Genomic DNA, 19,135 nt, shown 5'->3' with positions numbered 1-19,135 from the left:
GGTGGGCACAGAGTGGGGGAGTCTTTGGGGCTTTTTCCCAGGAATGGTCCCAAGTCACCCTCTCAGAGCCAGCTCCACCCCCACCCGCTCTGCACCCCCGGCACAGAGCCCAGAGGCCTACAGAGCTCATTAGCACAGCAGCGGCCCCGCCGAGCTCGCTTTAATTGGGGCCGGCGGGACGTGAGAACCCGGGGACCCCGTGCCCGGGCCGCAGGGGGAGGGGACACCCGCCTGGGCTGCCCGCGGTGGCGGCCCGGATTAGCACGAGGCTCAATGGGCCCAGCGAGCGGTAATTAAAGCTGCCCGCCCGGGCTGCCGCGGGGCCCAGGGAGGCTCTGGCGCCCGCCCCGGTTCCACCCCAGAGCCCGCCCCGCCTGAACCTGCACAGTAGCGCCCCGCGCCCATGAGTGCTGGGAGGCCACATCCCCCTCCTCACCAGCCCTCCTCCTTCCTGCCAGGGTGACCAAGGTAGTCGTTGCACGCTGGTGCCTGCCTCGGTTTCCCCTTTAGAAAGCGGGGCGAACACAGCCCTGCCATGAAGTGTCTTGGGGTGGTGGGAAAGGGTTGTGGGTGGATCCTGGTCTATTAGTGGGTGCAGGGGTGTGGCCAGCCACTGCAGAACCCTCCAGAACTCCTGCACGTTCACCTCTGCACTGGACTTCCTGGGAGCCGCCCAAAGGCCTGGCCAGGTACTAGAAACCAGGCCTGAGGGGTCCAGCCCAGACCCTGAGTGGGGCAGCCTCCTCAGGGAGGGCCTCTGGGAGGCCCAGCTGAGCCCTGCCTCGGGGGGCTGAAGGGCTGCAGGCCCCTGGGAACCGTGGTTCCTCCTTACTCCACCTGACTTCCCTGCTGTCCCAACCCGCACCTGGGACCTGGGCCTGGAGGTGGCTCAGGGATGAGACAAGGAGGCAGGCTGGCATGGGGCATGGCCTTCCCCTTGGCCTGACACCCCTCCCGGGGCTGACTCCAGAAGAGCAGTCCCAACTGACCCAGAAGCTGCTGAAAGTTCCAGGGTTGAAGGTACAAGAGCAAAGGCAGAGAACTAGCCCTGCTGCCTGGTCTCAGTGGGAAGTGGAGGCCATGGGACCCCCATGGTGGAGCGGCCCCCCCTTGGCCAGTCGCCCCCACATCAACCCTGTCATTACTTGATCGGGTTTCCCGCTGCAAACCCCAGGCTCCTGTGGTTTCTTCAGAGTCACAGGATCCGGCCAGGCCTGTCCTTGTCCTGGCCAGGAGAGCGGAAGCCATGGGGGACTCGGAGGACTCTGCCTTTCCAGAGGCAAGGGGGTCAGAGCTGGCCAAAAACTCCTCCAACCAGCAAAGACGGGGCTCCTGAGCTCAGGGTCATCACCGTGGGGCCTAGGACAGAGGACTCTGGCAGGCGGGACCCACAGAGCCTCTGCCCTGGGCACTGATAGGCTCCAACGGGTGCCCCCTAGAGCCAAGGCCGCCCCCTGAAGCCCCACAGGCCCCACACCTGCCTGAACTGGTCCTGAACTATCTGGGCACAGGGTGGGGGCATCAGGAGACACGGGGCTGTGGGCATGTGGGGGGCAGAGGGGGCCCGCCGATACAGCCCTCCGGGGACTCACTGCAGCCCACCCACACATGCGCTGGGGCAACAGCACCTGTTAGGTGCCCACCTGGTGCCCACCTGCCTAGCCCTGCTGGCCTGCTTGGCCCCACACTCCTCCCAGAACGCAACCCGTGTGGGTGCCAGGCCTGTGGGTGGGGGGCAGGGGACTGTCAATGTTTTACCACCAAACTTCAGAGGCCAACGTGACTCTGGGTGGCAACAGGAATGGGGCCCCCAGCCGGCCCCCCACAGGCCTGCCTGGGTCAGGTTTGGCCACATTTTTTCTCTTGGGAGAGGGCTTGTTGCTTCCTCTGGTGAAGATGTTTACTCTCCTGAGGCCGGGGCGCCTGCTGGGGTGCCTGTGCCTGTGTGTGCCTGCGTGTGCATGTGTGCACGTGTCCCTGTGGCTGGGTTGCTGGAAGCGGGTCCTGGGCGGCAGCGAGGGTCGAGCTGCGCTTGGGGCCAGCATGAGCAGGAAAAGACGGAGGATTAGAGAGGGAAGCCCGGCCCAGGCCATCCCCTGTGGACCGCAGGGCCAGCCACACGCGTGTGGTCCAGGCCAAGACCCCTGCCCTAGGCCCCTGCAGGGCTGGGCAGATGTGCAGAGCCCCTGGGCTCCTGGGCCAGCAATTACCCTAAATAGGCGGCCCTGGAGACGGCGGGGCCAGGTGAGAACGGGCGAGTACACCCTTGGTGTTGGGGCTGAGGTCAAGTTCCCCCTCCACACCTGCTGTAGGGTGACCTTGGGCTGCCTCACTGCACCTCATTTTCCCACCTGTAAAATGAGGGTAATAACAACACCTTTTTGTAATGTAATCTGGGTCAGGTGTCCCGGGATAGGGCCGGGCGTTCAGACAGCGCTCCGCATATGTGAGAGGGCCGGAGCTCTGTCTGGGAACAGCGACATCTCATGAGCAGCCTCCCCTCTGGCCCCAGAGCCCAGAAACTACTTTGAGAGAAAAGGATGAGGCCAGGTGGGGGGTGGGGAAGGGGTGCTAACCTGCCTATGGAACCTTGGAGCCAGGGCTTCCAGGAGGACGGGAGGCGTGCAGGGACCCAGCGACCTGGGGCTGAGCTCAGGAAACTCCCGCTGGCTGCCGGGAGGAGGCGGTGCTGGGGTTGCGAAGAAGGGCTGGAAGCCGGGGCCTGGGGTGGGGGTGGAAGGCGGGGTGGGCCGGGGTGGGGGCGGCGGCCGTGACCTAGCGGGGGCACCACCCCTCCCACCTGGAGAACACCCTTGGGTCTCTCCGAAGGGCACGACGGTACGGGCCGCCCCAGCTCTGCACAAAGGGCAGCTCCGGGCCGCTGCTGGCGGAGCGGGGTCGGGAGCGGGGCGCGGGGCGCGGGGCGGGGGGCTCCGGCCGGCGCGGGCGTGGCGGGCGGAAGGGGCTCCCCGGGCGCCGCTCAAAGGCCGCTAATGTTCGCTAATCCCGGCCTTTCAGGCGGCTGCGGCCCGAGCTGTTGGCCCAACAACAGGCGGCTGAAAGGGGAGCGCGGGGCGCTGGGGGCCGCTGCCCCCGCCGGCCCCGCCCCCGACCCGGCGGCCTCGCGCCCGGGACCCCAGCCCTCGGCGCCCGGAGGGTCCGCGCGCGCCTCCCGGTGGGGACACCGAGGCCGGGAGCGGCCGGGCGAGCGGGGCAGAGCGGAGGGGGGAAGGAGGGAGAGGGAGGGGGAGGAGGGGAGGGAGGGGCAGGAGGGGAGGGAGGGGCAGGAGGGGAGGGAGGGGCAGGAGGGGAGGGAGGGAGGAGGGGAGACCCGCCCCCTCAGGCTGCGCCGTGGTTCCCAGGCCGGGAGGGGCGCGGGGGCCCCCTGGTCGCAGACGGGCCGGGCCCCTCTGGAGCGTGACCCCGGCTTTCAGCGCCGCCCCTGGCCCGGCCCCAGCGCCTCGTTAGGGATTTAATTAAGGAGCCGCCGGGGATTTGCATAATCTCCGAGCCGCGCGGGGAGCCCCGGAGGCGGGCGGGCGGAGGGGGCGGTGGGGCCGGGCGCGCCTCTGGGCTTGGGTCTCCCAGTCGGGGCCGCAGGGGCCGGAGCAGACGAGGGACCACCGCGGGCAGGAAGCACCCTTTGTGCCACCGCCGGCCCTGGAACTCCCCGTCGGAGCCGGAGGGTCCCCTCCACGGCCGACTGGCCTCGCGGACCCAGCTGGACGGGACAGGGCTCCCCGGGGGGCCGCGCTCACCCCACCCCCCCTTCCCCCGGCAAACAGCAAAGGCAAACATTCCAGCCGCGCCCGCCGGAGCCAGGAGGGTGAGGGCAGGCGGCCGACCCCTGCCAGTGGCAGGACATCCCCCTACAGCCCTGGTCTGAAGAGGGCAGGGACCAGGCTCTGGCTGGAGCTTCTGTGCTGACCCCTGAGGCGGGGATGGCCGGAGACCCGTCCTCGGACCCTGGACTGGAGAGGAGGTGGGGGAGGGGCCTCGGGCGACCTGCTGAAGGGCCCTGTGGCTGTGGCTGAGCGCGGGTCACTAAGGCCCGAACTGGGTGGGTGAACCCTGCTTTCGCAGCCGCCCACAGGGCCCCTGCCTCTACAGGCAGTCCAGATGGAAGACAGGGTCCCAGGCCTAGAAGGGGGGGCACGTCCCTGCCCCTCCCCTCCCTCCTCGACTGGCACCTCAGAGCTGGGAAGTGCATGACAATGTGGCCTTGGGAGGGTTGCCGGGACTCAGCAGGAGGCGTTGCAGGCCTGGGCCATCCTCTGGGCCTCCGCCATGGCCCCAGCAGCCTCCTCACGCCTGGCACTCGCCTGCCCTGCGGGCATTCCCACAGCCTTCAAAGGGCATGTGGGCCCTGAGAGGGGCAGGGCCTTTCATCTCCTGGGTGGCAGGCCCAGAGCTGAGTGATTCCAGGGGTACTGGCCTCCCAGGCCCTGCCCCCTAATACCCTGGTGGGACCTGGCACCCCAGCCAGCCTGGGCTCTGCCCACCATGTCAGGGAGGGGCCCCAGGGCAGGGCAGGAGGTTGGGAAGGTGTGAGCCTGCACCTAGGCCCAAGGCCACCTACAAAGGCCTGAAATTACACCCTCCTCACGTTTGACCCCAGCCCCAGTCCCCACAGGGACCTTGCTGTCCTGGGTGGCCTCCTGTCCCCTGTGCCCACGGCAGCCAGGGGATCCCCCACATCCTGCCCCACCCCACACCGGCAGTGGCTCCTGTGACCTCCAGGTCAGAACCAAAGCTCCCTGGTGCCCACTAGGCTGCAGCACTAGTGCCCTGTGCTCCACGCCCTCCTCCCTCCTCCCTCCTCCCTTCTCCCCACTCTGTGCCTGCTCCGTTGCTGGAATGCAGGTGCCTTGCTCATCTTCACCCCTCTGAGTATCCCTCCAGGGCGCAGTCACGTGACACAACAGGGCTGAGGTGGAGCCCAGGGCTGAGGTGGTGCAGGGCTTGCTCCTCTAGGGAGGCCTGGACAGAGGGGGGTCCACACCCAGGCCCGCCATGGGCTTTGCCTGCAGAACGCCTGCCCACTGCCATCTCCCAGGAGCAGAGGGCAGGGGACAAGCCTGAGCAGAGGGCAGGGGACGAGGCTAGCCTGAGTCAGGGGAGCTTCCTCTGCGTGGGTCTTCAGGGGTGAATAGGAGCTTGCTAGGATGGAGGAGGAGGTAGAAGCACCCAGCAGACCCCAGGGATGCAGGGGTGGCAGTGTGAAGTGGGCTGGGCAGGAGGCCAGGGCTTTGGGGTCTCTGGATTGACCCTGCAGCTTTTTGTGGCCCAGGGACCCTGGGGACAAGAAACTGTCCCCAAACATCGAGTTCCAGTCCCTGGCAGGCCCCTCCCTGCACCAGGCTTCAGTGCCACCCAACTCTTTGTGCCCCATGGAGACTCCACTCATCTGAGAGCCAGGGCTGGGGGACAGGAGTGTCCTAGCTGCAAGCTGCACTGGGGCCAGGGACAAGGCAGCCCCAGTGGGGAGAGGCAGGCAGAGGGGTCTCTGGAGAGAGGTGGGTTTCGGCGCCCAGAGACACACAATGTGAACCCAGCCCTGACCGCCCAGCCCCATTCTCAGCTGAGGGGTCTGGGCCCAAAGCCAGCCACACCTTCCAAGGAGAAGTCAGAAGATGCCCCCAGCCCCATAGCAGCCCCCCGCCACCTGCCTCAGTACCTGAGTCCCAGGCCATCATGTCCTGCTGGCCCCTGCTCTGGCGCCAGGCACCCATCTTGCCCGCACCCCTCGCAGGGCTGGAGGTGGGGGCTCAGGCCTGCCCCGAGGAGAGGAGGAGGGAGGGGAGGATGGACACCTTACGGGGCGGTACCAGCCTCAGGCCGCAGCCCCCACCATGGTCTGTGGTGCAGGGGAGGCTCTAAGGAGGCTGGGGGTTCAAGGGCAGAGGGCCGTGCTCAGGGAGGCCCTACAGGAACAGGAACAGAGGGTGGGGGATCCCCTGTGGGGGCAAGATGTGGGTGGGAGCAGGCTCAGGAGGCCAGCCAGGCTCACACTCGGCCCCCAGGTCTCAATCACCTGCCCTTGGGGTCTGCAGGGCCCTATCGCCTATGGCCATGAGAGGGACAGACGCCAGCTGCCTGGTTTTCATTCAGTTTCACTTAAATTGTCTAAATATTGGCCGGGCGCAGTGGCTTACACCTATAATCCCAGCACTTTGGGAGGCTGAGGTGGGCGGATCACCTGAGGTTGGGAGTTCAAGACCAGGCTGACCTGTTAACATGGAGAAACGCTGTCTCTACTAAAAATACAAAATTAGCTGGGCATGGTGGCGCATGCCCATAATCCCAGCTACTTGGGAGGCTGAGGCAGGAGAATTACTTGAACCCAGGAGGCGGAGGTTGTGGTGAGCTGAGATTGTGCCATTGCACTCCAGCCTGGGCAACAAGAGCAAAACTCCATCTCAAAGAAAAAAAAATTGTCTAAATATTGTCGTAGGCAGCTCCAGACCCACGCCCCTCCTTCCGACTCGCCGTTCTCCAGGGCTGCACCTGAGGGCTGGCCTGTGTTTGCAGTCCCCCAGAGCCGAATGCCTGCTCTGCTGAGCGGGGCCTGAGCCCAGCGGGGCAAGCCCTGGGCCTGGGTCTCTCTTCTTTCTCCTCCTCTGCCCCCAACCATCCTGGCACCCAGCCCAGCCCCTGAAGGGACGACTTGGCTCTTGACTGTGGAGGTGGATGGCCCGGACGCCCGCTCCAGGCCACGACCTCCTGGATGAGCACAGGCCAGCTCGTACTGTGGGGTCTGGGGGCAAGGGCGAGGCTGCCCAGAGGGCTCTGGGGCCAGGGTCAGGGTGGGCCTGTGGGTCGGGGGTGCAGCACCGAGCCCCCGGCCCGGCCCCGCGGCCAGAGGCCAGAGACAGCCATTCCTGAAGGGGCCTTTCTCCGAGCCGGGTGCGGCAGGAGCCCTCGCCTGCCCAGCCTCGCTGCCGGCGCCTCTCGGCCGGCGGCCACAGCCCTGATGTTGCTTTAATAAAACAAAGTTTTTCTTTCGTGCGCGGCCTCCAGTGGTGAAAGGGCCGATTTACAGAGCCAGAGCCCCCTCCCGGCGCCCCGCCCGCCCGCCCTGCGGTGGCGCTGGCCTGGCCGCGGGTAATTTATAGCCTCAACTTAGCACACTTGCCCGGGCCAGGGCGGCATGACTGGGGCCCTTTATCCCGGCCCCGGGGCCGGGGCGGCTCAAGGCTCCATTCACGGCCACCGCAGGCTCCCGCCCGGCCACGTTCCTCATGCAGGCGTTTGGAAGCCCCGCGGCACCCGGTGGGTGAAGACAAGCTGTGTCGTTTGTGCCTTGGCGGCGGCCGCTCTCCAACCCCCATGGCCCGGCCCCTCCCCAGCCCGGCCGCCCGTCCACAGGTGAGGAGACCGAGGCCGAGGCAGAGGCGCTGGAGTTTCTCTCTCTGTTCAGTGGGACCCAGGTTTCCTCCGAGGACACGATGGCTTGAGTCAGGGCCCAGGAAACATGGTGCTGTCTGGGGATCCCAGGTGGAGGCATGTGCACTTCAGGCCAGGCATCTCTGCCCTCCGAATGGCAGCTTGCGTGCTCTTTGAGTGGCCAGTGCGTGTGGGACCCCTGTTAAGGTCACCCCCACCCTGGGACCCCCACCCCGGGACCCCCACCCGAGGGGGCGTGGGGAAGGGGTGAGGTGCTCCAACCAGGACCAGGCCTCTTAGGAGTGGGAGAGACCTCCGCTAGAGGATGGAGGTTGGGGGTCCTAGTGACCCACAGCTCGGGGACCCGGACGGCATGTGCTATGGCCTGCAGTGACCTTTCGGAGAGGCTGTCGCTCCTGGTGCAGGCCTCAGTGCCGGCATTCCTCAGAGGTCCACCCGGGCAGCCCCTGGCCCCACCCACTCTGTGTGGGTTTTCACAGGCTCACGGGCTCCCAGGCGGGCACACACACGGCTGCCCTCACTCACATGCACACCTCGCACCAGACACACGCATCTCACTCACTCAGTGTCTGTGCCGCCCTGGCTCCCCTTCTGCCAGGTTTAGACCCCTGCAGGTCTCAGTGAGGCACACTGCCCTCTGTTCCACACCCTCCTGTCTCCCTGGCTTGGGCTCCCAAGGGAAGGGGCAGAGGAACAGAGAAGCCCTGCCTTCTGCCCTCTGCCCTGACTCGTGGTAAGGGGACCTCTTGTGTCCTGGAGTCTGCACCTCTCCTGCGCAGTGCCGAGCCTGCCGGGGTCGGGGGGTGCAGGCAGAGGAAGCAGGTCCTGAACAGGAGCCTGGAACCTCGGGGGCAAGTGCAGGAGCCTTCTCTGGGCCTCCATCTCTTTGGCATTGACCTTGAAGGCTGCTGTGAGCTTCCTGGGGTGAGGGCTGGCACTCCCCCAGTCTCCCCAGCATGGACAGGCCCAGCCTGCTTGCCTCCTGGTAGGGGCTGTTCACCTCCAGACCCCGGCCCTTGAGTGCCATCTGTGGATGGCCCAGGGGCTCTGACTGGACCCTTCTACCTGCTTCTTGATTTCCATACTGGGCCCCTGTACCTACTCCTGATTTCTACACTGGGTCCCTGGACGTCTGGCCCCTCCACCAAACAAGGCTCAATGGACCCAGGGGCCTGCCGAGGTCCCACGCAAGTCTGAGGTCTTGAGGGAGGGTGAGGGGTGGAGGGTCGGGGGGCAGGGGTTCTCCCTCAGGGTTTCTTTCACTCAAGATGCCACACCCTCCATCCTGTGCCACCCAGCTCCAGACCCGGGGTCAACCACTTGTGCCAAGGAGCCTGAGATCCCAGCCCATGCCCAGCCAGTCAGAGGTAAGGAAACGGAGGTGGGCAGGAGGCCCGCTGGGGGCCTAGGCTGCCCCTGAACATGAGGGAATGAGCAGGTGGCGGGGTCTGGAGGGTCTCCGCCTCAGTTCTGTGGCCCCCAAGGCTCCAAGCTCCCCCCACCTCTGCATGGTAGATCTCTGTGAGGGGCAGGGTACAGATCCCCACTGAGCGGGCACCCTGGGGCTCCCACGTGGAGGAGCACAGGGTCCCACACTGCAGACAGCTGGCCAGGCCGGAGTTCAGCTCCTCCAAGGTCAGGAGTCGGGAAAGTTGAGAGTGCAGAGGGAAGTGACGGTAGATGGGGTAGACAGGGTGCACGGGGTGGATGGGGCCGATGGGGTGGACGGGGTGGGCTGGGTGGACGGGGTGGACGGGGTGGACGGGGTGCGCCGGCTGGGTGGGGCGCGCGGGGTGGGCGGGGTGGGCGGGGTGGGCGGGGTGGACGGGGTGGTCGGGGTGCACGGGGTAGATGAGGTGGACGGGGTGCACAGGGTGCACGGGGTGGGTGGGGCACACGGGGCAGGCAGGGCAGGCAGGGCGGACAGGGTGGACAAGGCGCACCGGGTTGCATGGGCAGTGTCTAGCCAGCACCCTGCCCGGCACCTCACAGAGGAATGGGTGACCGGCTGCCCAGGTGGAGTGCCGGGGGCCCGGAACACCTTTGCTTGCATCTCTTTGGAGCAAGATTTTCACTTTGTTCCCAGTGTCTCCGGGGGCAGTGACAGGAGATGGGGGCGGGGGAGGGGCAGCTGCATGGTGGGAGGGGGCCCGGCTGGAGGTCAGGTGGGCCCAGTGCAAGGGACCGACAGGGTTAACGTGCCGCCTCCCCTCCCACCATTATAGCTCGGTCATTATAACTCCATCTCCTGCCTGTGTCCTGGCCCTCCCGGGGCCTCCCGGAGCCTTTGTCTCACTTTCTAAGGCTCTGACAGGATCAGGGAGGGTGGGGGCCCCAGGAAGAGAAGGGGGCCTGCAGCATACAAAGCCCCCGGCCCCCTGGCCCCCAGCCTTGGCGCCTCCTCTGCCAGGATGCCAGCCTGGAGCCACTCCCAGGATGCCTTCCTTGGGGGCTGGCACGGGCCAGGCTGGGCGGGCATCCCCTGAGCCCAGCCCAGGACAGATCCGCCCTGGCCGCACCCCACGGCCACCCCTGAGCCGTTCCCAGGCCCTGCGAGGGTGGAGAGCCCCCCGCCGTCCCCGATTCCTCGTGCTCGGCTGCAGGCTGCTAGGAGCCGGGTGGGGGTGGGAGGCGTGTGACCAGGCGGAGGATCCGGGCAGGGGGCGGGTGTCCAGGGACAAAGCCCGCCTGTTGATTAAGTCATCTGCCCGATGCACCCAGCCCAACCAACCATGGGTGAGAGCTTTGCCTGCCCACACCCCTGGGCTACTGCCATCAGCCTGGCCCCCTGGCCCTGCGGCAGGGGTCGGTCCACCCCGCCATGGTCGGGGTATCTGCCTCCCTCTACCCTGCTGTGGCCTCTACTGACCAGATGCCCACAATGTCCTCCCAGGGCCTGTCACCCTCTCGCCCCTCCCAGGACACTTTGCCTCAGTGTACCCGTCTGTTCTAGGGACCACTTAGCTGGAGAAGCATCCGACTGTCGACTGTCATCTCACTTCCCCTAGGCCTGAGGCTGATGCCTGCAGCCCCTCCTACCTGCTCCTACCCTGAGCTCCCGGAGCTGGAGGGCTAAGGAGAGCCAGCTGGGGTGGGTGCAGGGTCACCCTGCTTACGAGTGTGGGAAGTCCCTGTGCCCCGGCTGCCTTTCCTGTTGTTCCTGACGCTTCCGGGGGCCTCTGCTGGGCTGGCTCTGCCTGCCCCACCTCCTGGGAGTGGAGGGAAGATTCCAGTTTGGTGGGGACCCTGGGGGCACCAGAGTTGGGAGGCTGTCTGGGCACCTGAGCGGCCTCAAGAAACACATGCTCTCTCACAGTCCCCTACCACCAGGCCCATGGGCGCCACCAGGCGTTCGTGGGCTCCGGCCCCAGCCACAGAAGGGCTTCCCAAGCTGGGAGCCGTGGGGAGTCTCCACCCATGTTAGAGCAAACGCCAGGTGGAGAGGCCTCCGTGGGCGGGGTCAGCTCCTGGCCCCTCGGTCAACTCGTCCCTAAAGTGGGGGCATGACCCCCTCCAGCTGGGAAGGCTGAGGTGCAGTGGGGCTGGAGGCCCAGGCCCGGCCCCGAAGGGTGACTGGTGGGATTACAGCTGTCGGGCTGCGGAGATGGGGTTTCAGGATGGGGCGGAAAGTGGGGCGGAAACTTCCTGGGATTTGTTGCTAATCAGGGCCCGGGGCGGCCACAGTTTGTCTTTGCTTTGGTCACACGGTCACAGTCTATCTGGCCAGCATTCTGGGAGCTGGGGAAGGGTGGGACAAGGGCCCTGGAAACCCAGCCCAGAAGGGCCCGGGTGGGCTGTTGAGAGCCTGGGCAGGTCCTTCTTTCTCAGGGAAAGCGCAGGGGACTCTGTAGGCCCTGGGCGCCAGCCCGAGGTCAGCTCTGGGGAGCCTGACTGGTGGGTGGAAACTGGCCTGACCCCCTCAGGATCCTGGGTCCCTCTTCTCCCCAGTGAGCTGCCCTGTGGCCTGGGGGACAGGTAGGCACCAATGAGACAAACAGAGCGGGTGCCAGGGAAGGAGGGGCCTTCTCCCCGCCCCCCCGCACCCAACTCTGTGCCTACCCAGAGGGAGGGGGATGGAGTGGTGGGCCCAGAACCTCACCAGGACCCCACTTCCCACTCCAGGAGCCTGCCGCTCCCCCTTGCTTGCCGGGGGCCCCGGCCAAGCTTCTTGTTTCTCCAGTTCTATTTCAGCTGACCGGGGCTACAGGGAGGCCAAGAAAGAGACCCTCCTCACCTGCCGCCGCCTCACACCCCACCGTGTATCCTGCGGCCCAGACCCCAGCAAAGGAGGGCACAGGGCTGGCCTGGGGTGGACTGGGGTGGACCCTGCCAGTGGCTGCTGACCTCCCAGGCCACCTGGGCTTTCCTGGCCTGCGCAGTCTCCCGGAACTGCTTCCGCTGGCCCAGGGCCTGGGAGTGCCCCACACTCGGGCAGGGCCCTGGCAGCCGAAGGGAGGGTCTTTCTGAGCCAGTGGCTTTGGGACGTGCAGGGAAGGGGCTGGCGTACCGAGGTCACACTGAGTCTCCCTTCACCACGAGACAGGAGAGGCCTCCCTGATGGTGGCTCTGGACTCAGGGCTGAGGCAGCTATGCAGGATGGCTGGAGCTCTGCGGTGCTCACTGTGGCCAGATGCCACCAGGTAGTGGCGGGCATCAGCCGGGCAGTTGCTGGTGTCATGAAGATATCAGCCCACCTCCATCCACCTGCCCAGGCCTGTCCGGGTTGGGCGTCCCCAGAGCCCTAGGCTGAGGCTGAGGCACCTGGGGCTGTGCCGCTCCCCTCCCCGCCCCGTTCCAGCCGGGGCCTGCCTTACCCTCCCTGCCCCAGGGATGGTTTCTGGCAGGGAACGCAGTGTCCTCTGAGACCCGTCAGGTCCCAACAGATGGGAGCGCTGTTCCCTCCCACAGCCCATGCCCAGTGGCCCCAAGTGGGCCCTCAGCTTCCTCTTCTGGCTCTCAGACCAGCACAGCACGCGGCAGGTGCCCACGAGGTCCAACTGGGCTCCCTCAAGCCTTCTGCCCTCTCGCCTTGCTGCCCGCTGTCCCCACTGGCTCTTTCCTGTCACCCTCCTGCCCCCCACATCACCCCCGCTTTCATCAGAAGGCCCATCACCACTAGCTGCTGCCTGGCCTGTATTTCCTTCTCCCCGGGGCAGACTGGGAGCTTGGTGAGAATGCAGCTGCATCCCCAAATGCCTGGGACAATGAACGTGGCCAGTAAATGTTTACTGATGGACGGACGGACTGACGGACAGGAGGAGTGACAGAATGGGGCGGGGACTGTGGTGCAGGACTTGGGGCTGATGGGCCGCGTGCCTGGGGGAAGGGCACTCGGCTGGCCCTGGAGGATGGGGGGGTCAGTGGCGGGTGGGAGGGGTACCGAGGTGACGAGGCGGTGGCCGGAGGCCTGGAGGAGTCGAGAGGTCTGTGGGTGGCCGCTTGGTGTGCAGAGGGCAGAATGCTCATGCTCAAGGCAGGAGAAGGGGGAGGGCTGGGGTGGGGGTGGGGATGAGGTAGGAGTGGAGACAGGGTGGGGGTGGGGGTTGGGTGGGGGGATGGGGGGATTATGGGGGCATAGAAAGGGTGGACGTATGGAGCTGGAGGGAGATGGGTGGATGGGAAGTGGGTGGGCAGGTGGGAGGCGTGGACGTGGAGCTGGGAGTTGAAATGGAAGTCAGCATCTCCCTGAATCCTGGGAGCTGGCACTGGAAGGTGTGTGGGCTTTTCTGAGCCCTTCCATAAATGAAACCCCAAGGGCAGGCGGCCAGGTGTGGGAGGGGGACCCATCAAGGGGATCCACTGCATCATTGCCTGTGCCGCTGGCATTAGTGATTTTTGGGGCCCCAGGGGTGCACCCACAGCCAGAGCCCAGCCTCCAGGGTCCTGGCACAGGCAGTGTGCTGCTGCCACCTCCCCCTGCCTGGAGCAGCCCTGGGGGCCATCTCTGGTGGGACGGAGCTGGTCACCAGCCCTGGGGAGCCCGGTGTGAATGAGCACCCACACCTGCCTCAAGGGGCCCTGTAGGCACCCCCACCCCTCCCGCTCCAAGCGGGCTGAGGCCCAAGGATGAGGTCACGTCTGCTGTGGGTGCCCCTGGGCCAGAGGCACGGAGCCCAGGGCATCGCAGGTCCTTGCCCCTGCCCACCTCCACTCGCTTGGGCCATCTTGGGGTCACCAGGCGGGCACCAAGAGGAAGGAGGATGGCATAGACACCACTGGCCCACCGGCCCGGCCCTCAGACTCCTTCCTGGACAGCCTGGCCAGGACCTGGGGCACCCCGGTGCTCCCACACTGGCCATGGGGGCCGGGCTACAGCCTGGCCAGGACCTGGGGCACCCCGGTGCTCCCACACTGGCCATGGGGGCCGGGCTACAGCCTGGCCAGGACCTGGGGCACCCCGGTGCTCCCACACTGGCCTTGGGGGCCGGGCTACAGCCTGGCCAGGACCTGGGGCACGCCGGTGCTCCCACACTGGCCATGGGGGCCGGGCTTTCCCCAGGGCCAAGTTCTTCTCATCCCTTCAGCCCCTGTGGGGGATTGCAAGGAGCAAGGCCAGGGCTGGGGCCACCTCTAGGTCTTTGGCTGCAGCAAGAGGTGGGGGTTTGCGGTGGATCATCCCCCACCCACAGCAGGGTCAGGAGAGAGAGAGCAGGGTCTCAGTGCCCGGTGGGCATGGCTCCTGTCCTAGGCGCGCCGTACAGTCGCCAGGCCTCTGTTCTGCTGTATGCCCATTTTATTGTGGGGGCACTGAGGCAGGCAGCGGGTGAGCTGGGGCTGCCTGGGGTGCGGACTCCATAGCCCCGAGCCCATGCCCAGGCGCCTCTATCCCAGGTCAGGGCCAGAGCTCCCGCTCAGGCTGGCACAGAGGCAGGAATGGAGCCTCGGCCCCTCTCAGCCTTTGCTGCGCCACCCATGCGGGGTCCTCACGCAGGCAGGGTCCTGTGGCTGTCCTGCCTCCACAGGACTCGAGCTCAGTCATCAGCCCCTCCTGGGGTGGGGGTGCAGCTTTGCTGGGGAAGGGAGGGGTTCCGGGCAGACGCCAGGCCTGCCTCCGCCACAGGAAGAGCCGGGAAGGCCGAGTGGGCAAATCTGATCAGCCAGCAGACTTCCGAAGGCCCCATCGCTGACCGCCCAGCGACCTTCCATCTCTCTGCCTGGCTGTGGGTGGGAGCCAGGGGCCGCCATTGCTGTGCCTGTATCACACCCCGCCAGGGGCCAGGTTGTCCCTGAACAGGTCGGGGAAGCCCCACTGGGTCCCTGCCTGGCCCAGTTTTCACTCTGGCTGAAAAAGGCTCTGGGGTGTCTAGGCACTTTCCCAGCCTGGATGGAGCTGAAGCATGGGTGTTGGGGGCCCTGTCCAGCTCTGAGGTTCCACTCGGCAGCCTGGGCCATTGTGGCTTCAGGGATGTGCCCCCCGCTTGCCTGGAATGTGGCTAGAGTTGGCACCATCCCAGGGGCATGGCAGCTTGGCCCATCCATGGGCACGGCATGGCCTGGGCGCCTCCCCTGCCCCCGGGGCCTGGGCGTGTGACCCAAGATCCTGACACTCTGGTCTCTAGCTGGCTGGCCCGTTTTAGGGCCTGGGCGAGGCCACCCCCCAGATGTCCCAGTCTGGAAGGGCCTCCAAGTTGGGGCACTAGCCTCTCTGCTTCTGGCGGTACCATCCCGACAAGTCAGCTCCAAGCCGGCTTCCCCAAGCCTCAGTTCCCCCATCTGCAGATGGAAAGCATGACCAATCACAGCCTCGGCTCGGCAGCGGCCCCGAGGCGAGTGCTGGGCGGGAGCCGCGTCCGGGGCCCTGTGGCCTCGTGGGCTGTGGCCTGTGCTCCCTTCCTCCCCTAGCCCAGAACCTGCGGGCAGAGAGGCCCTCAGCGGGGCCCCCATCTGGAAACGATTGTGCTCATGGCCCTCAAAGATATAATTAAAATATATTGGGTTTTATGCTCCTTCCTCAGCTGGGGCAGAATCCAGGCTGGTTATGAAATAGGATCGTGCTGATTGGGCATGGGGGCCGTGGACTTGGAGGGCGTCCGGCCCCCGCCCAGGCTGCCTTCGTGGCTTCCCTGAAAGCTGGTGGCACAGAGGAGGCGGTGGGGGCCAGTGCGTGGGGCTTTGCTGCGCCCACTGCCCCGTGTCCTCCAGGGGTGTTGCTACATGGTGGGGGGCAAGGATTGGACCCAGAGCTGCCCAGGAGGCACCCGGCCTGTTCCCACGCCTGCCCTTGCCCAGTTCCTAGGACATGCCCAACTCGTGTGGACCGCCCTGCTCTGTGCCAACGTGGCCTCTACTTCTCTGTCCTCCAGGCCCCACCTCCCCCAGGAAGCCTCCTTGGTGAATGCCCCGATAAGACCCATCTGAGATCCATCTGACAGTCACCCTGGCCCAGGGCAGATTTGGAGTTCAAGGGGGCCCTGGAGGGCTACCTAACGCTGTGGCTGGCTCCTGCCTGGCCCCTGCCCTAGCCTAAGTGCCTCTGCTATGCCTCAGGCTTCAGTGGCTGATGAAAACCACACCTCAGCCTTGGGAACTGGTGGCTGCTCTCTGGGGAGCCCTCTGACAGGTGTGGGGCAGGTGCTGGGTCCGGGACAGGGCCAGGCCACACATGGGACAGCCAGCGGCAGCTATCTCTCCCATCTGTGCCCTGCCTGGCCGTCTGCTGCCTAGAGGCTGCCCACACCTGCTCTGAGGCCTCTCAGCCTGAATACCTCCTCCAGGGAGCTTTCCACCCCTGCCTTAGCCTTCAGTGTTCAGGTCCCCCTCCCTGGCCTCAGGCAGCAGCCACCTTCCCAGCCCCCCAGCACAGGGCTGTCTGTAGGCCTCTCCCTGTTGTGGCCGGTGGCGCCCAGGAGAGCCCTGCTGAGAGCAGCTGTCTTGTGCCTGAGTCCAAGGCTTCCCCATCACAGCCCCTGTCTCCCTTCAGGTCTCAGGGCCTCAAGCGGCCCCAGTAAAGACACGCGGCCCAGCTCCATGGCCCAAGGAGATGGCAGCTTCTGCTGTGAGCCTGGCTGGGCTCTCCCGGGTGCCGGGTGGTAGGCTCAGGGCTCCGCCAGCCCTCCTCCCCACATGCCCCCAGGATGGCCACTTTTCTCTCCCCAGCTGCCTGTCCCACCTCAGGACTGGTGACAGATCCTCACTGGCTGTCCCCTCCCACCTGCCAGAAGCAGTGCCTGAAGTCCAGAGGACTCCAGGTGCCAGGCTCCCCCTGGGGAGGAGCACGGGGCTGGGCAGTCAGCCGGGGAGGAGCAAGCTGGTGGCTGGGACACACAACTCCCCATGGTGTCGGGCTGGGGGCAGCATGCCTGACCTGGCAATGGCCCCGGTGACGGCTGGGGGTGGCCACGGCTGGGCTCAGGCCAGTCTTATCTGTGGAGGCTCAGAGACCAGTGGCCACTTCCTGGGTCTCTGGCGGTGGCGGCTCCCACTATGACTTCCCCAAGCCAGTCTGGTGCCAACACCCTGGGCTGAGAGTCCCCAGCCCCATTGCATGCTCCACAGCACAGGCCCCAAAGGCCACTGTCCAAGGCCACCCCCGGGTGCCCCTCGCCCCACACCTGGCCCCCTCGCGGGCTGGAGACTCGCTGCTTCTGACTCGGGTCCCGGGACAGGGCACCCACCTGGGTCCCAGTGCCCAGGGGCTGCCGCCCACATGCTGAGCCCCTGACCCTGGAGTTTCAGGTCCCAGATGGAAAGTGGGGAGGGTGCCTGTCTCCGGCTTCTGGAGATCCCTGGGAGGGCACCCTCCTCCACGTGGGCCCGGGAACAGGAAGTGCTTGACGGGGCTCCCAGGTGGGGCCAGCACTGCTCTGTGGGTTTTTCCAGGGAGGGGCTCCTGGGATCTGAAGTCCTCTAAGACCCCCCACCCCCAGCCCCCAGCAGGCAGGGACCCTGCCACGCTTCCCTCTGAGGTCTCCACAGGAGTGGGTGCGGGTCCTGTGGCTTTGCTGGAGGTAGGGCTGGGGCCTCCTGCAGCCCCAGGTCACTGGTCTATGATTGTCACCATCGGGTGGTGGCTGGCCTGGAGAGTGTCTCCTCTCGCGGGTGGAGTCAGGGGCCTGGGTTTCAGGTTGGGGGCTTGGGGACTTCAGTGAGAAGACAGGCCAGGACCTGGCCATGGACAAGGGGACAGCAGGAGAGAAGGGGGTGCTGCCCCCAGCTGGGACCCCAGAGCCCCCCACCTGGTTCCCATCTCCTCTGCCTCCTCCCCTTTGCCAAGAGGCCTCACCACCAGCACCCCAAGTCCCCACAGGCTGGTGCCCCGCGAGGCCCCGGGCACTTCCTCCAGGAAGCCTTCTCCCACCCCTGCAGCTCAGCCACACCCAGCGGCCCCCAGCCAGAGGAGGGGCACCTGGGACCAGACAAGCCTGGGCTCGGGGCAGAGGTGCCTTCCTGCTTTCTGGGCGTGTGGGGAGGGGGTTCCCAGAAATGCCGAGGAGGCCTGGCCGGCAGCCCGAGGGGAGAGCCCCTGGCGCTTCCTGCTTGGTGAGGAGGCAGGCCTCTGCCGCCTGAGCTCGGAGAAGTGGGAGAAGCGAGTCAACGACAACAACCATCATCGCCCGCCCTCCTCTTCCCAGGCCTATGTGGAGGAGGGCGCCCTCCCCGGGATCTCCAGAGGCCTGACCCCTGGCTGGTGGGCGGGGCAGGCGTCCTGTGCTGCCCCTGAGCCTGTGCCTGCACCGTGCCCATCCGGCTGCCCGGCAGGACCCTGCCCGCTGTCCTGGGCTCCCGAATCAGAGCCCCTCTGGGCTGAGGGGAGGTCACCGTTCCCCAGCTGAGTGGATTACCTGGGGCGGGGCAGAAAGGCCCGTCGCCTGTGGGTTGGGGTCTGCCTTGCCCTACCCTGCCTGAGAGGGTGAAATGAGCTCATGTTCCTGGCAGAGGAGCCAGCACCTGGCGCAGAGGGAAATGAGCTGTGCCGTGGGCACGTTGGGGCGGGGGAGATCCAGCCTGAATCCGCCCAGCTTGGGCTGCCCTCCGGCCAGGTGTGGCCTCCCAGGGGAACACTGTGGACCCTCTCGACAGCTGAGAGGTGGGGCAGGTCGGGCACTGACCAGGATTCCCAGCCTCCTCTAGGAGAGGGCCCAGCCTGGCCATGCTCCCTCCCACGCTGGGGCCCAGCTCAGGAGCCCCCACCTCCAGGAAGTCCCTCAATGCTGAGGGCCCGCCTCCATCCCCACCCATGCTGGGTTGTCCAGAGTGCTGACCACACAGAGGCGAGTGAGCAGCATGGCCTTGTCCCGGGGCCTGCACCTCATCACCAGCATTGGGGGTGACAAAGGCCCCTGAGCTCTGCGGGTGTGGACCTCAGGGAGGCCAAGCTCCTCCAGGCCACAGGTTCGGGCTGGGGAGGGGACACTCTCCTGGGAGCAGCTCCCTGCTTGGCAGGCGCACCTTAACCTGGAGAGCTGGGTGCACAGGCAGGAGCCTCCGGGCCTGGATAGCCAGTGAGCCTGGCAGGGTGGTGGGGACACAGATGGACGTCCCCAGCAGGGATGGTGCGGGTGGAGGGAGGAGCGCCCGGCAGGTCCCTGCTGTCTGGGTCTGCTCTGGTGGTGGCTGCGGGTGAGCGCCTGTGGACTGGTGGCGTGGCACTGGGCTGCTCGGCCGTGTGTTTCTGATTCCTCGAGGCCTCCCCAGCGCGGTGTGTGTGCAAGGTACCCCCACCCTGGGCCCACTCAGTGTCCCGGGCTGCCTGGCCTGGTGCAGGACCACCCACCAGGCGGCCCCTGTC

The 19,135-nt window shown here is 66.5% G+C and overlaps 4 annotated features.

Moving 5' to 3' along the window:
* Positions 1,443 to 2,008: an enhancer, noted in NCBI's record as "H3K27ac-H3K4me1 hESC enhancer chr4:1770399-1770964 (GRCh37/hg19 assembly coordinates)". NCBI's record gives its function as "activates a minimal SCP1, AML or CMV promoter by ChIP-STARR-seq in naive H9 embryonic stem cells {active_cell/tissue: H9 hESC(naive)}" and the evidence as "EXISTENCE:reporter gene assay evidence [ECO:0000049][PMID:30033119]".
* Positions 2,009 to 2,574: an enhancer, noted in NCBI's record as "H3K27ac-H3K4me1 hESC enhancer chr4:1769833-1770398 (GRCh37/hg19 assembly coordinates)". NCBI's record gives its function as "activates a minimal SCP1, AML or CMV promoter by ChIP-STARR-seq in naive H9 embryonic stem cells {active_cell/tissue: H9 hESC(naive)}" and the evidence as "EXISTENCE:reporter gene assay evidence [ECO:0000049][PMID:30033119]".
* Positions 3,653 to 4,512: an enhancer, noted in NCBI's record as "H3K27ac-H3K4me1 hESC enhancer chr4:1767895-1768754 (GRCh37/hg19 assembly coordinates)". NCBI's record gives its function as "activates a minimal SCP1, AML or CMV promoter by ChIP-STARR-seq in naive H9 embryonic stem cells {active_cell/tissue: H9 hESC(naive)}" and the evidence as "EXISTENCE:reporter gene assay evidence [ECO:0000049][PMID:30033119]".
* Positions 16,757 to 17,364: an enhancer, noted in NCBI's record as "H3K27ac-H3K4me1 hESC enhancer chr4:1755043-1755650 (GRCh37/hg19 assembly coordinates)". NCBI's record gives its function as "activates a minimal SCP1, AML or CMV promoter by ChIP-STARR-seq in naive H9 embryonic stem cells {active_cell/tissue: H9 hESC(naive)}" and the evidence as "EXISTENCE:reporter gene assay evidence [ECO:0000049][PMID:30033119]".

Source organism: Homo sapiens, chromosome 4 (assembly GCF_000001405.40).
Source record: "Homo sapiens chromosome 4, GRCh38.p14 Primary Assembly".
Lineage (NCBI taxonomy): Eukaryota > Metazoa > Chordata > Mammalia > Primates > Hominidae > Homo > Homo sapiens.
Note: the sequence above shows the minus strand (reverse complement) of the source record. Positions and strands in the feature narration are given on the sequence as shown.